Source organism: Homo sapiens, chromosome 16, assembly GCF_000001405.40.
Source record: "Homo sapiens chromosome 16, GRCh38.p14 Primary Assembly".
Classification (NCBI taxonomy): Eukaryota; Metazoa; Chordata; class Mammalia; order Primates; family Hominidae; genus Homo; species Homo sapiens.
This window is the reverse complement of record NC_000016.10, coordinates 61,718,424-61,732,205: the sequence shown is the minus strand read 5'-3', so window position 1 is coordinate 61,732,205 and position 13,782 is coordinate 61,718,424. Positions and strand designations below refer to the sequence as shown.

General features: G+C 33.3%; 1 protein-coding gene across 5 annotated transcripts in view; it reads left to right on the top strand.

Moving 5' to 3' along the window:
* CDH8 (cadherin 8) overlaps positions 1–13,782 on the top strand; it is a 389,189-nt gene that overhangs the window by 304,233 nt on the left and 71,174 nt on the right. For 3 of the 5 annotated variants that reach the window (NM_001796.5, XM_005255760.5, XM_047433482.1), the window contains exon 9: positions 4,991–5,112. The exons of 1 other annotated variant lie outside the window; for it this stretch is intronic. In NM_001796.5, the coding sequence (NP_001787.2) occupies positions 4,991–5,112 (122 nt within the window). Of the gene's footprint in view, positions 1–4,990; positions 7,037–13,782 lie in introns of those variants that run through there. One more of the 5 variants, NM_001410893.1, reaches the window with a different exon arrangement.

Below are 13,782 nucleotides of genomic sequence, written 5' to 3'. Positions count from 1 at the left end.
ATTATTTGTTCATTTTTTTCTCCATTCTCTGTCTCCTTTTCTTCTCTCATTACTATTATGCATATATGACACTTAATGGTGTCCCATATTTCACTGAGGCTCTGCTCATTTTTCTTTATTTTTTTTTAACTGCTGTTCTTTGATTCTCTACTGATCTTCACTTTCAGTAATTCTTTCTTCTGCCAATTTAAATCTACTTTTGAGTCTCTCTAGTGAATTTAAAATTTTGGTTATGGTAATTTCCTACTGCACAATTTCCATTTGCTTCCTTTTTAATAATTTCTGTCTTTTTATTGATATTCTCTACTTGATGTTATGTTGTTATGGCATCTTCATTTACATATTTAATTATGCCTTTTTAAATATATGTTAATGGCTACTTTGAACTCTGTTAAATCTGACATATGGTCACTCTCACATATGATTTCTTTTGCCTGATTTTTCTCTGACCTATGTTTGTTTATTGTTTGCTTATTTTCATGTCATGTAACTTTTTTTGGAAACTAGATATTTTCAATAATACAATGCAGCAATTCTAGTTACCAATCCTCCTCTGGAGTTTGGAATTATTACTCACTTGTTTGTGACTTGCTGAATTGTTTTAGTAAAACCTTTTTTCCCCATTGGTGTAAAATCTGTGATCTTACTTCTCCAGAGGTACAGTGTTGGATATTTACATAAACACCTGGAAATACAGTGGTTTTGGCAGGGCTCTCTTTGATTGTCTCTGTCCCTGACCACATCCAGCTATTAAGGTTGTTTAATTGCCAGCCAACTGCTCAACTGTATTCAAAAGCGTCCTAGGTCATAATTTGTTCCACGGTATGATCTGTTCAAATTTGGGCTCTGTTAAAGAAATGATTCCCTAGATAAATGTTTGAGATTTGTTATTTTTCCTAGAAGGCTCATTTCAGCTGACTCTATCTGCATTCTCTCTGGCAACTAGCCTCTCTCTCCAGTGAATCTACCAGATCTACCAACACTCTCTCATTTGTCTTTCATAGCAACCTTTAGTGTTTTGAGTTTACACTTAGGCTTGAAGGTCACATTCCTTTGTATATGAAGGAACTTTCTGCTTCAAGGCCTGCTTTTCTCTTTCACTCTCAAGCAAAATCTTTGAGCCATGGCTTTGAAACTCCTTTCTTTAGGAGTGAAGTGCTTTGTGGAGAGAAGGAGGCAGTGACCTCAATCTTTTTGTCTCACCTGCTGTATCCCTTAGGACTTTTTCCATAGACTAATTATTTTTAAAAAAACTTTCACCAGTTTTTCTGGAGACTGGGTTTGTAGAGTTCCTCAGGCTATCATGTAATGAGTCTTAAAAAGCAACAAGGAAAACAAACAAACAAAATTGAACGGTGTGTTAAGATGGCTTTCTGAAAGAGATGTGACTTATGCTAAATTTTGAGGGATAACTAGAGAAATTCTAACCACCTGGAAATAGCTTTTCAGTGCAGAGTAAACAGTTTAGGTTTTATTTTGCTTAACTTTTCTAAAGAAATAGATAAAATATTAAGAGGAAACATCTAGAAATATCTACAACTAAATAAGAACAAATTAATTTAGTACACTTGCGTAATTGTTAAATAAATGTAAAAAATAGTTGAATTTGTGTACCATGATATTCTTTACAGCTATAAAAAGTGGGTTCCAAATTTAGTTCCTAGTTTCTCACCGAACTATAAACTAACAAACCACAAACTAAAGAAGAAAATAATAATTATTTACAAAGAGTTCTTTGACCATTATACTAAAACATTAGTCGCTTGCAGAGGTGCCGGGACACAAGAAAGATGATAATTGAAAAAACATTATATATCATTCATGATTTTCCAACAGTGTTAAGTAATAGCTCCCTAATCCCACATTGTTCCTAAAAAGATATTAGTTGGTATTTTGCACTGGGCCCCAGGGATAGATAAATAACACTTTGTCCCATATATGACATATGAGAAAACCTACTTTAATGTTGAAAATTGCCTCCAATAAGAAGCTGATGGAGTTTGTTCATTCTTTATGCCTGAGTTTTGCCACCTGTTGGTCATCTAGGTTGAAGAGATAATTGCAATTTATTGCAACCATGAGGCCAAATTAAAAAGAAAAGAGAAAAATAAGAATGGACTTTGACAATTTTTTAACCAAAAGAGTGGGAAGAAAATGTGTATATGCATGTTTGCCTGCAGTGTGTAGATATGAGTGTGTGTGTGTGTGTGCATGCACACGTGCATGTAATATTAAAGATAAGGAAAACAAAGAATAATATCATACATAGTTGACTTGGCCTAATCAACCATTGTCAGTGTATCTGAATCTGTAAAATTAGCAATTTTTTCACTTCAGAAGGAGCAAAATAATGTTTAAGGAATATGGTAGCTTTTTCTTATACTTTCAGTTTTCTAAGACTGTGCCCCTATTATTCACTGTCTAATCTGTACATGCAGTTTATTAAGCCTGTGCTAATCACTATTTATTAATTGAATATTTAGCGAGATTAAAGTAAAAATATCTAGTAGAAGTTTCTTTAATTATTTACACACACAGGAATTGGTCTAGGATGTCGAATGAAAAGAATGAGTGTTACAGAGTTAAAAGGAATAACCGGCAATTCTTGGAATTAAAACAGAGAATTACAAAAAGAAGTTAATCAATTAACGGGACTCCAGTTGGGTGAAATAGGACCATAAGCAAAATTCTGGAAGTTAAACTGCACAGTTTCATAGGGAGAGTTGCAGATTACGAGTGCAATTCTGAAACTCTTCATGATGGTACAACCCCTTAGACATTCGGTATTTGATATTTGGGCCAAAACTTCAAATATTTATCAAATTTCAGGTAAGTATTTGTAACAAATTTATAAACATTCTTGAGGAGATAGTAGTAATTAGTAACCTTCATACACACATACACACACACAGAGGCACAAATACACATGTATATGTATTTTTTTGGACTTCATCAGTATTATACTATGAAAATGGCTTATGTCTGGAAGAGCAAAATCACATTTTGAAGTTGATGCTTAACTTAGTAATCTTGGTACAATTATATAATATTTTAAGTGTCAGGTTTACATCTTACATATGGGGATCCCATTAGCTACTTCATAGATTTTTTGTGCAGATTGAATGAAATATGATTACGTGAAATATTTTGCATCATGAATAGTAAACATTCAATATACCTGATGCTGTTCATGTGGAAAATTGCAAAAGGCAAAGGCTATAATACCTTTGAATGTGTGTCCAATACTGTATAAGACACTTTTAATTTTTCTCACATGACATTTATAACAATTCTATAACAAAAGTGTTAAATTTCTGAGTTTCAGTTTTTTTAGGAAAAAAATTGAGTTTAAATTAATTGCTCAGAGTCACACAAGTAGTAGAAGGAAAAGCTGGGTCTCCAAAGGTGCATGTTTAGCACAAAATGCTATGCTCCTTTTTACTTTCCAAGAACTGCTATTTAGCTAATGGTCAGGCTGGAAAACGGAAGTAAATATTTAAAAATATAACCACACCTTACTCAAATTATAAACTTCCTAGAGTTTTGTTGAATAGATAAAGGATAAAATATGAGTGCCTTGTGTTAGAGTCATAAGTTAAATGTCTATTTAGATTCTTCCTTCTATCAAAACTAGGAAAGAGCATGTTTCCTCCCTGAATGAAGAATAAACAAGTTCATTAGATATATATTTAAAAAGGGTATATGAGGTGAGACATTTCAGGCCATCACCTTGATTTTTGGGAAGTGAAGTCAAGTTCCATTAATCCCTCAGGATAGTATTCAGCCACTTGTAGTTAACCAAATTAGAATATTGGAGAGTAGTCATGGCACTCAACTAAATTCAAATCTTGTAGCAGAGCCAGCAGGGCAAACCAACTGTAAATCTGTAGCATAAATATAGCTATTTGGTGTATACTTTAGGAGTACTTTTATCTTTAACCAAAAAAAAAAAATGAGTATTTTAGAGCTCCAAATGTAATCAATTGTCAAAAAGAGGAGTTTGATATATCAAATGAAAATCTGTTTGTTCATATTCAAAGCCAAACATTTTTTCCCCTCTTGGCTTGCTTATAAATATTCAGTGCCACAGAAATGCAAATAAATAATTGGCTATCTCCAATGCATTCTGTATAATTTATAACAGATCAAAAGATTATTACATGGTACAGTCAAAGTCAAACTATATTCCATTTATTGCAAGTGAAAACCATAACATGTCCCAAGTCAGGAATGTATTAATGGACTAGATCTCCTTCTGTGTGTATGTGTGCATACATAACTTAAAAAAATAAGGATTCAGGGATTGAGGATTATGTATTGAGTTCTCTGCTATTGGAATTGACCTGGAAAGATTAGAAGATTATTATTCGTTTGCATTGATAAAAGTCCTCATGAAAATGACAATATTAAAATCACTTGGGATCATCTTATTCAAAAATATTCCAGGGTCAATTTTAATGAAAAATGTGATTCATAAAATATATGATATTTCATCTTTAATCTTACCTCTTTTATCATTGTTAAGGACCACTTCTCAACAAGTGATTTAGTTCTGGCCTTTTGCTAGGTTTTAAGTGTTCATCTCTATTATACAGCCAGTCAAGCAAGTAAGAGCTTAAAATGGGTTGTGTTCTACTCAAGAAAAAAAGAGATACATTTTTGTTGTATACAACATTTTTCTTTTAAAGAATTGATCCCTTATCTATAAAATAAAGCTTGCTTTATCAAAGAAACCTCTTTTAATTTATTCAGAAATGGTCTTTATCAAGCTAAACTCAGCAAATGGTGTTTGAAATAACAATTTATGCTTTTTTTTAAAGCAGTCAAGCACTTGCTATTTTTCTTATTTGGTCAGACTCTATAATCACCATGTTGAAAACATCCTAATTAAGGGAAGTTGGAAACAGACACACATGCTTTCAAGAGAAAGTTGAGTTGCACGTTAAAATGAAATACCCTCAATGCTGATGTTATTTTTTCCTTCCCATAGGGAACCACAGTCAGATATCACGAGTACCTGTTGCTATTAAAGTGCTGGATGTCAATGACAACGCCCCTGAATTCGCATCCGAATATGAGGCATTTTTATGTGAAAATGGAAAACCCGGCCAAGTAAATATCTCCATGTTGTTAATGCTGAATATGTTTGTATACAACTGTCTCATATTTGACTAACCTGCATTATATTGTGCATTTGCATCATTTATGATCTGCAAAGTCTCAGGCAAGAAACACATCCAAATGGGAACAGAGAGGGAATTTTTTTTCTCCATCAGATGTTATTTCTCTTCCTACTTATGACCAAATTGGCTCCTAAAGTGGAACAACCTGCTGTGCCACAAACCCAGAGCCAAATCACTGTCTTAAAATATCTTGGGATATGGATGATAGCAGGAGATGTCTTAGAGTGACGGGGGCTGAATTTTTACTTTCAAATGACAAGAAGCAAGGTAAAACCTCGTGGAGAGGAGACATTTGTTTCACAGCAAACATATGAATACCAAATAATAGTGAAACCCAAGAAGGCCAGTGGTTTATAGAAAGTTGTAGGAAGTGAATATTGAAATCTGTAAATATGTAAATATATTTAGATAAACATAAGATGAACAACACGTTTTACATGTGTGTATTAGTAGAACATTTTTTGTGCCTCATATTGCATAGATGGGTCAATGAAAACAGAAAAAAAAGAAACATAAAGAAAGTGAGAGAGAGGGAGAAGGAAAGGGAGAGGGAGAGGGAATGGGAATGGGAGTGGGAGGAAGGGAGGGAGGGAGAGAGAAAAAGAGGGAGGAAGAAAGGGAGGAAAATAGTTAAACAAGCAAGATGAACAGAAACAAATATCTGCTATACTCTGAATGTCAAAATGGAAATAGCCTGTGTAAAGTTCTGCAAAACCATAAATGTAATAGATTTATTTTAACAAGGTACCAAAGTACTGTATGTTTAAGAAATTTATCATTTTTCAACTTCCTAATTTATTTCTGGATGGTGACATTTTAATTTAAATAAACAGCAGCTGACAGTATGACACTGGAGTTGTTAATCCAACTATTCTTGTGCCTCATGTGGGTGTTAGGAATTAAACTTACTATTTGCTAAGCAGCTTACCTGACAAGAGTCAGATTTTTTCCCCCTAAAGAAAGGACTGGCACTGTAGCTGTATGCTTTATTATAAATGATCAATTTGTTACCCTCCTATAAAACAGTGGGCATTTCTCCGTAGACTACTCTCATGTATCTGGAGAATTAGCATTGTTTCCATCTACCAGAATAAGACACACCACACCACACACACACACACGCACACACACACACACGTTAAAGCTAAAATTCTAATAATAAAACTGATTAACTTTTAAACATCTAGCCATGTTCTCATCAAAGCATTCAGCTTTAGTAGAGATATAGGTTTATTTTTATAATATTCTAACATTAGCTTAAATGTTTCCTAATTTTATCATGTGGAATTACCCCCTATCAATCACACGTTTTGAGCATCTTCATTTGTGATCCTTTGAGAAGGGAGTGTGTATATGTTTATATATACACATATCAATACATATCATTTACCTAAATTGGTAGATTGAGTTGTCAGAGAGAGTTTGATCAAAATATGGCAGGTTGTTTCAAAGATATGGTTGTTGTGTGGACCAGATCATTGCTGAGATAATGTAGCCAAATCACAGACTGGTAAGCTAGACTTTTTCAATCACATAGAGTCTGTAAAATACTTCAGAATTTAAATAAAACTCCATTGCTCATGCAAAACTCATCAGATAAGTTCAAGGAGTCAATGACATTGATATTTCAAAAACTCAACATTGGCTTCACTTGCGTTATTGACAAGCATGTTTCTTGGATCTCTGGGAATTTGTAGGTTTGCCCTGTGGATTTTGACTGTTTTCAAAGTTCTAATGATTTCTCAGTCGTTCTTCTTAACTTCAGAAAAAAAAATGCATTGTTTTCTCATCTTTCCTATGCAAAACCAAAATAAAAAATTGATTCTTTGTTTTATGATTTTTGCAAATCACAATGAATGACTCTTTCTCTGAAGAAATGGTTATGTTGTGTGTATGTGTGCTACACCATTTTATCCTCTAATGATCTGTTTAGACATATTTATTAGAGTTCATTAGTTACATGAAAGGATCATATCTTTGATGACTTAACAACATTTTTGGACATATGGCTGACTGATGTACATGCTGTTGTTGAAACAACTTTCTTGAACTCTTTGAATCCTTTATGTTAGTCAGAATTCAGGTTTTATTCCTTACATCACTTCTAGGTCACTTTTAATGCTCAATGATCTAATTTTTATATTTAACATTTACCAAAATTTGGATTTGTTATTCACACAAGTGTTTACTTATAGAAGTTCAACAAAGATATACTTTCAATCGTCTCTCATAATACCACACAAATGACTGACTCACTATGGAACTAGAATATTCCTTAGCAGATGATCACATGCTCGTGAAAAATAAATGTCAAAAAACCGAATGAGCCATTAAATTCATAGCTTTCTCAATATTTTTGAACAATTTATGTCTGCTTTACAACAGCCTCAGAAAAACTGCAGGTGACATTCAAATGTCTTGTTTGGCTGGAAGGTGTGGATTTAAGGCTAAACTCAGGGGATCAGCTTCCTGGGAGATGGTGTAGCTGGAAATTATTAGCAATAATCAAGGAAGGATAAGCCATTAAAAAAAATCCAGGCTGTATAAACTCTCTGGACCAAAAGGGCCTATGTAAAGAGGTTTTCAAAACGGCTCACAAAATGAAAACGAGTATCAACATGAGCATAGACAATTCTATTGTGCTTTATATTTTTTCCACTGAATTGAACTCATCTAAACACAGTCAGAATGAAAAACAAGAAGAAAAAGAGGGAGGTCGCTTTCTCTTGTCTAGGCAGTTATCTCCAGTTCATGATATACCTGAGCTAAAATAGGTCTAGATTCAATTTGAAAGTAGAATTGGAAATCATATCTGCTCTTTCCACCTTCTCATGATTCTGAAGTTAAAGGTGACATTCCCTTGAATTTGTATTCTCAAAAGTGTAACCATAACCTAAATAGGGAGAAATGGTTCACAGTCCATTACACAAAATCAACCTGAATCACATTTGATTAGAATCCTTTTAAATAATCTCTCTGTTACATAATTAAATATTATATATGTTATCATTGCTAATTATCTATATTTTAAAAAAAAATCTGATAGTTTCAGGTAATTTGTTTTAAGTCAAAAGACTTAAGATGGTATACATCTTTAGACTCTAATTCAGTGGTGATATAGTCTAATTCAGACATGATATAGTCATTTGCAGATTATTTGGCTCCCAGTTTAACAGGAGGGTTAAACAGGATATTCTCCACTTACTCCTCTCTAACGTCCATGGCAAAAATGGGAATGTGTGTTGAGGATTCCAAAATCAGAAAGCCAAATATATGTCTGACAGTTTGTGTGTCTGATAGGGTGGTGGGTTTCTGTCAGTCAGTAAATACTTACTGAGCACCAACTATGTTCCAGGACTGGGCTAGATACTGAAAATGTAGTAGTATACAACACCCCAATAATCAGCCTTTTTTACCTTCATGGAATTTTCTCTCTGGCAAACATTTAATTAAAATTGTAAATGATAGAATTGCAGAAAATGTTTCAAATCTTCTGGACAGGTGGGATGCTGAAGGGAGAAGGGGAAATGGAGCTATCTCAATGAAAAGACCTCTTAATATAGGACAAGTTTCACCAGAGACAGAAAACATCTATCAAGTACTGAAAAGGAGACAGCTGGGGATAAACCAGATTCTTTCTGAAGAGAATGGTAATCTGGCTGGACGAGTGGAGGAACAGGTAACAAATGTGGAGAAACCAGTATCTTCCTTCAATATACTTGACAACCCCACACTCAGAACCAAACACGAAGGAAAAATATAGAACTTCAGTGACCAATGTTGGCCAGAGGACCTTCCATAACTGTGTTCTAACTCTTACCTCCTTAGTAGGATCTTTCTTGGACTTTATTTCAGATATTAACCTCTTGGTTACCATATACAGAATTAGGGTGACTTTCTCTGGATGATCTATCAGTGCAGGGACTGAATTGAATATTTTCTTCTGAGGCATGAAGCAAGGTGTTTTGTTCAGTCTCAGAAAATATTCATTGTTTGAGAGGTGTCAGGCAGTTTCAGTTATTCTTCAGGAAAGAATTTCTGTAACTATAAATAAATCTAGTGGGGTATAATTTGAGCTTCATCACTATCATACAAGTTGCTGTTTGGTGTCAAGTAATTATATCTGAGTTAAAAAAGAGAAACAAAAATATTTTGGTTTCTCTTCTTTCATCTCATCTTTCTGCCTCTGACCAACATTGTAGAAATATAAAGTTTGTTTATTATGGGGGTATCAAAGTTCAAATAAAAAGGTAGTCACTTATACTTCTGGATGATATGTATCTAGCCAATGCTTGACACATAATATATATTCACAAAATCTTAGAATCATGGCTCTAAATAATTTCATTCAGCAATGACAGATACTTCAAAAAGTAATTTCCTAGATATTATCATGGAAACACTTGTTCCACTCACAAACACACAGTATGCATGCTAACCTCTTCAGATGAAAAATTCCTCATTTATTTATTGGACAATATTTATTACCCATCTACAAGATGCTAATTGTTGTAATACAATCTGAAGAAACAATGTGAAAGGGTCAAAAATTATTTTTTCTTATGAATTTAGTGAAGAAGAGATTTTATGAGAAGAATAGAATGAATAAAATAATTTAAAATTTTGAAAACTGGTTTGAAATAAATATTCAAGCAACTAGACAGAGGAACAAAGAACAAAGAAAACTCAGGGATCTACTTTATATAGTATTGTCAAATAAATTTTTGATTTTAAATGAGTGTTGTTTATGGTGAAACTGGAAAAAATGAGAAAGAGCTGGGCATGAAGGCAGTCTTCTAGCCAACAGAATAGGCATGTGCAAATATCCTGAATGGACAATGACCTCAGTTTGTTAGAAGAATGGAAGATACCTGTGACTAGCATGTAATAAGCAAAAATGAGATTGAACATAAAGAGTTTTATGCTTGAATAAAATACACACATGCACACACATGATTAAGCAGGAAGCACATTTAGGAAGCTGTAACTGCAAAAGATAATGGTAGCCAGGTCTAAGGTGGTGGCTATGGAGATGGAAGTAATTGAGAAATCTGATTGCTTACATAAGTGAAAAATGTACACACACATCTAACGTTCCTGCTCTAGGAGCTTGGTATTAGCAACCACATGTTATAGATATAAAAGCTGAGACCGAAAAAGACTATGAGTCTTACTTAAGATTTACCATGAAAAGTGGCAAAAATGAATTTTAAAGTCTGCTCTTAAAAGTGCTAAAGTCCCTGAAATTTCTAGGATGTCGCAATGCTCTCCAAGGAAGCAGAACTTTGAAATCCTATGTCTGTGTGACACATCTCTTATAAAATAATCATGAGAATATGAGTCTGATCAAGAGTGAACATTTTTTTTCAAAAGAAAACAATACATTCCTGTGACCAATGACATTCTTACTCAAAAGCATTTCATGAAACCTTAAATGAAAAGAAATAAAGCTTAATAAGAGAAGTAAAGGTAATTATCCCTAGATAAACACTAGCAATGAATGGGTTTGATACTTTATTTTTTTTGTCTAGTTTCTGTGAGTCTTTTTCTAATAACTGTGAAACAATAAAATGAAGTTATGGCACTTTATAACACTCATGAAATAATAAATATAAGAGATTTAATTTTAGCTTTCCTGCCAGCAGGCATCTTTCATAATATATCTGCATACACAAGAGGGAGACAGGATTGATTTTAAAACAGATGAAATTGATAGCCTCCACAAAATGCATAAAATACTACTTTCACTTTATTTTGGGTGGAGTAAGGAGATGGTAAATTAATGGAATGCATAAAACAACATTTGAAGAAACCACATGTAGCAAAACACATTTCAAGAGAGTCATTAACAAAAGTATGACTTTTGGAGCACAAGTTTGACAGAAAAGCAAAGCAAAGTGAATATATATATATTGGAGGGTTTGGAGCTTGAACAATCTAAATGTGAGATCAGATCTTTCCTATTTACTAGTTTTGTGATGCTGAGCCATAATCTCTGTTAGTTTAAACCCTAAAATCTTCAGAATAACTAGATAGATATAGATATATAGATATACAAATACATACTAAATAAATACTTGCAATTTTCAGTGGTATTTATTTGAACCAGTCTTGTGGTCTACAAAGCAAAAAATACTTTATTTCTATTATATTTGTTGGGTTTTATTGTTATGGTTATATGTTTATGAGGTGGCTTAAAGCAACACACTATACATGATTCCTAAATGGGTCAATATAATAGACAAATCTATTGCTCTAATATTGGAATAACTATTCCTGTGATAATTTACAAGTACTTTATTTGTCAAGGGTGAAAGAAAGATCCATACTTCACTCTTCCCCATGGGAATCTGTGGGTTAAATTTTTTTAAAAAAAATTAGCTGGAATCATCATATAGAAACACATTCTACCTAAACCTTTCGAAGTTTTACTTGCAGTTCTGTATGTATTGACTGGGAATCTTGCATGGTTACAAATTTCACGTTTTATTCTGGCCCCTAATTTAATTGAGATTGATTATCTACAGAGAAAATGGTGTAAAAGATTGTTTAAAGTCTTGGGCTATTACGGACTGATATATTTTTATTGTATTTTCAACCTACAGAATACTGGATAAGAATTTAGGATGGGAGCCAGGTAGGAAACCTGAATACGCTTGTTTCCATTTGTTCATAAAAGCCATGATGATGAGCAGGTTTTTTAAAGAAAGTCAAATTGACTGTAGGTAGTAAGAGATTTTAAGCCTAGGCTTTGTGTTTGTGATGTAAATTGGATACAATCTGGTACTGGAGGATCTGAGATAATACTGGGAAGACAGAGAAGCTAATGGTAACATGGCTGTAACCATTAAGCTATGTAGATACACACCTTCACACAGAGGCTGAGAAAGTCTTCCAATCTTTTAAAGACTCAAATGGAGTTTTAGAGGATAGCATTATTCAAAGTGAGTTTTTCATAGAAACTTGTGCGGTAGCATGCCAATATATGATGTGGTTTGGTGTGTGTGTGTGTGTGTGTGTGTGTGTGTTACCTAATAAGATTGGGAGACATTAAATTAGACAAAATTAAACATGATCTTCTGTTTGTTTTGTTTTACTACAAGTTTCTCTTGCATTTAGAAATACATATGAATCCCCAAGGAAATTATATGGTATCTCGAGTTTGCCAAGGATAGTTGACTATAAAATCTTTCAAATTTCCTTCAGAGAAAATTATAAAATTTGTGGGAGATGGGACCCAGTTGGAAAAATCTTGCCCTGGGAGGATAAACAATGGAACATATTTTCAATATAGGAATTACTGTTTATAATCTTAAGGAGGTATCAGGAGATATTCCCACAAAGCAATAGAGTCATGGTAAAGAAGAGATAAGATTGAAAAGGGTGTTGATTCTTCTAAGCTATGTGGAAAACTGTGAATTTTATCCTACTAATGAAAATGAACTATAGATTTTTAAATCAGGGTAAGAGATGGAGTGGTTTTTATTTAATATTGATAATTTCAGTAGTATACAAAGTACACATCAGATATACAGAGTCCACCAAAAGAATGCAAGAGGCAGAAGAAACTGGAAAATCCAAACTTTGTATAGACGCATTCTTCTGGAATCCTAGCGTTGTATTGGTTTACTTCAATTTAGTTTCAAGAAAGGTAAAGTGAATGAAAAACCCAACGCTGAAAAAAATGTTGGAAGTTCTACAATGCATTTATGAAGGCAGAGTCCCAAATTCTACCCAGAGGACTGAAGACTTCATTTAGTGTGTCAATAAGATTAGAACCTCATCTACTTCCTCCTGCTGTATTTCCTGTATGTCAGAACTGCAAGCTACATGCTCTGAATAGCCACCTAATAAACTTTAAGGCAAGGATGTTTCAGGCCAAAAAAAAAAAAAATGGTGAGCTCATTAAACATGTTGAATGGGTATGGAATAAAAATCTTGGTAGCAACTGGAATGCCATGCAAATTATCAAAAATATCCAGACAATATATTTTGATTAGATATGAACTGTGAATATGTTTGTACTACATTTTACAGTTTTGAAATAATTGGGTTATTGTGTAGATTTTGATAAAATTTCTTATTTACCTATATTCCCCCCTTTCAATTAATCATAATTGTTATAACTTGATTTGTCTTGTATGCCTATCTATTTTTAAGCACCCTTCTTTAAGGCTTTTAATGTATTTTGTTTTGTTTTATTCAGTTATGGACATCATTGATAATTTGATAAAAGCTACGACCTTTCCCCTCATAAATGCGCATATGTAAATAATTTCATACTATTTCATTTTCAAGGTGAGGAATGACAGCCATATAAAGCTCATTCATGGATCATTCCTTTCTTTCCCAAGTTGAAAACTACTCCAAGAGATAGATGTTAATATTTCAGGAAAGTTAATATGATCATCAGAAATAAAGTGGAGATAATAATAGAATTAATAGAAAGCCAAACATTATGCTGTTCCTTCTTCATCGACCGTAACTTCCCTTCCTTTCCTTCACCCCCTTTCTATCACCTTACAATTCATATCATTATAGAAGGATTTAGAGAAAAGAGAAACTAAGTTTTACCTGAGAAAGTGACAGTGTGGTTCAA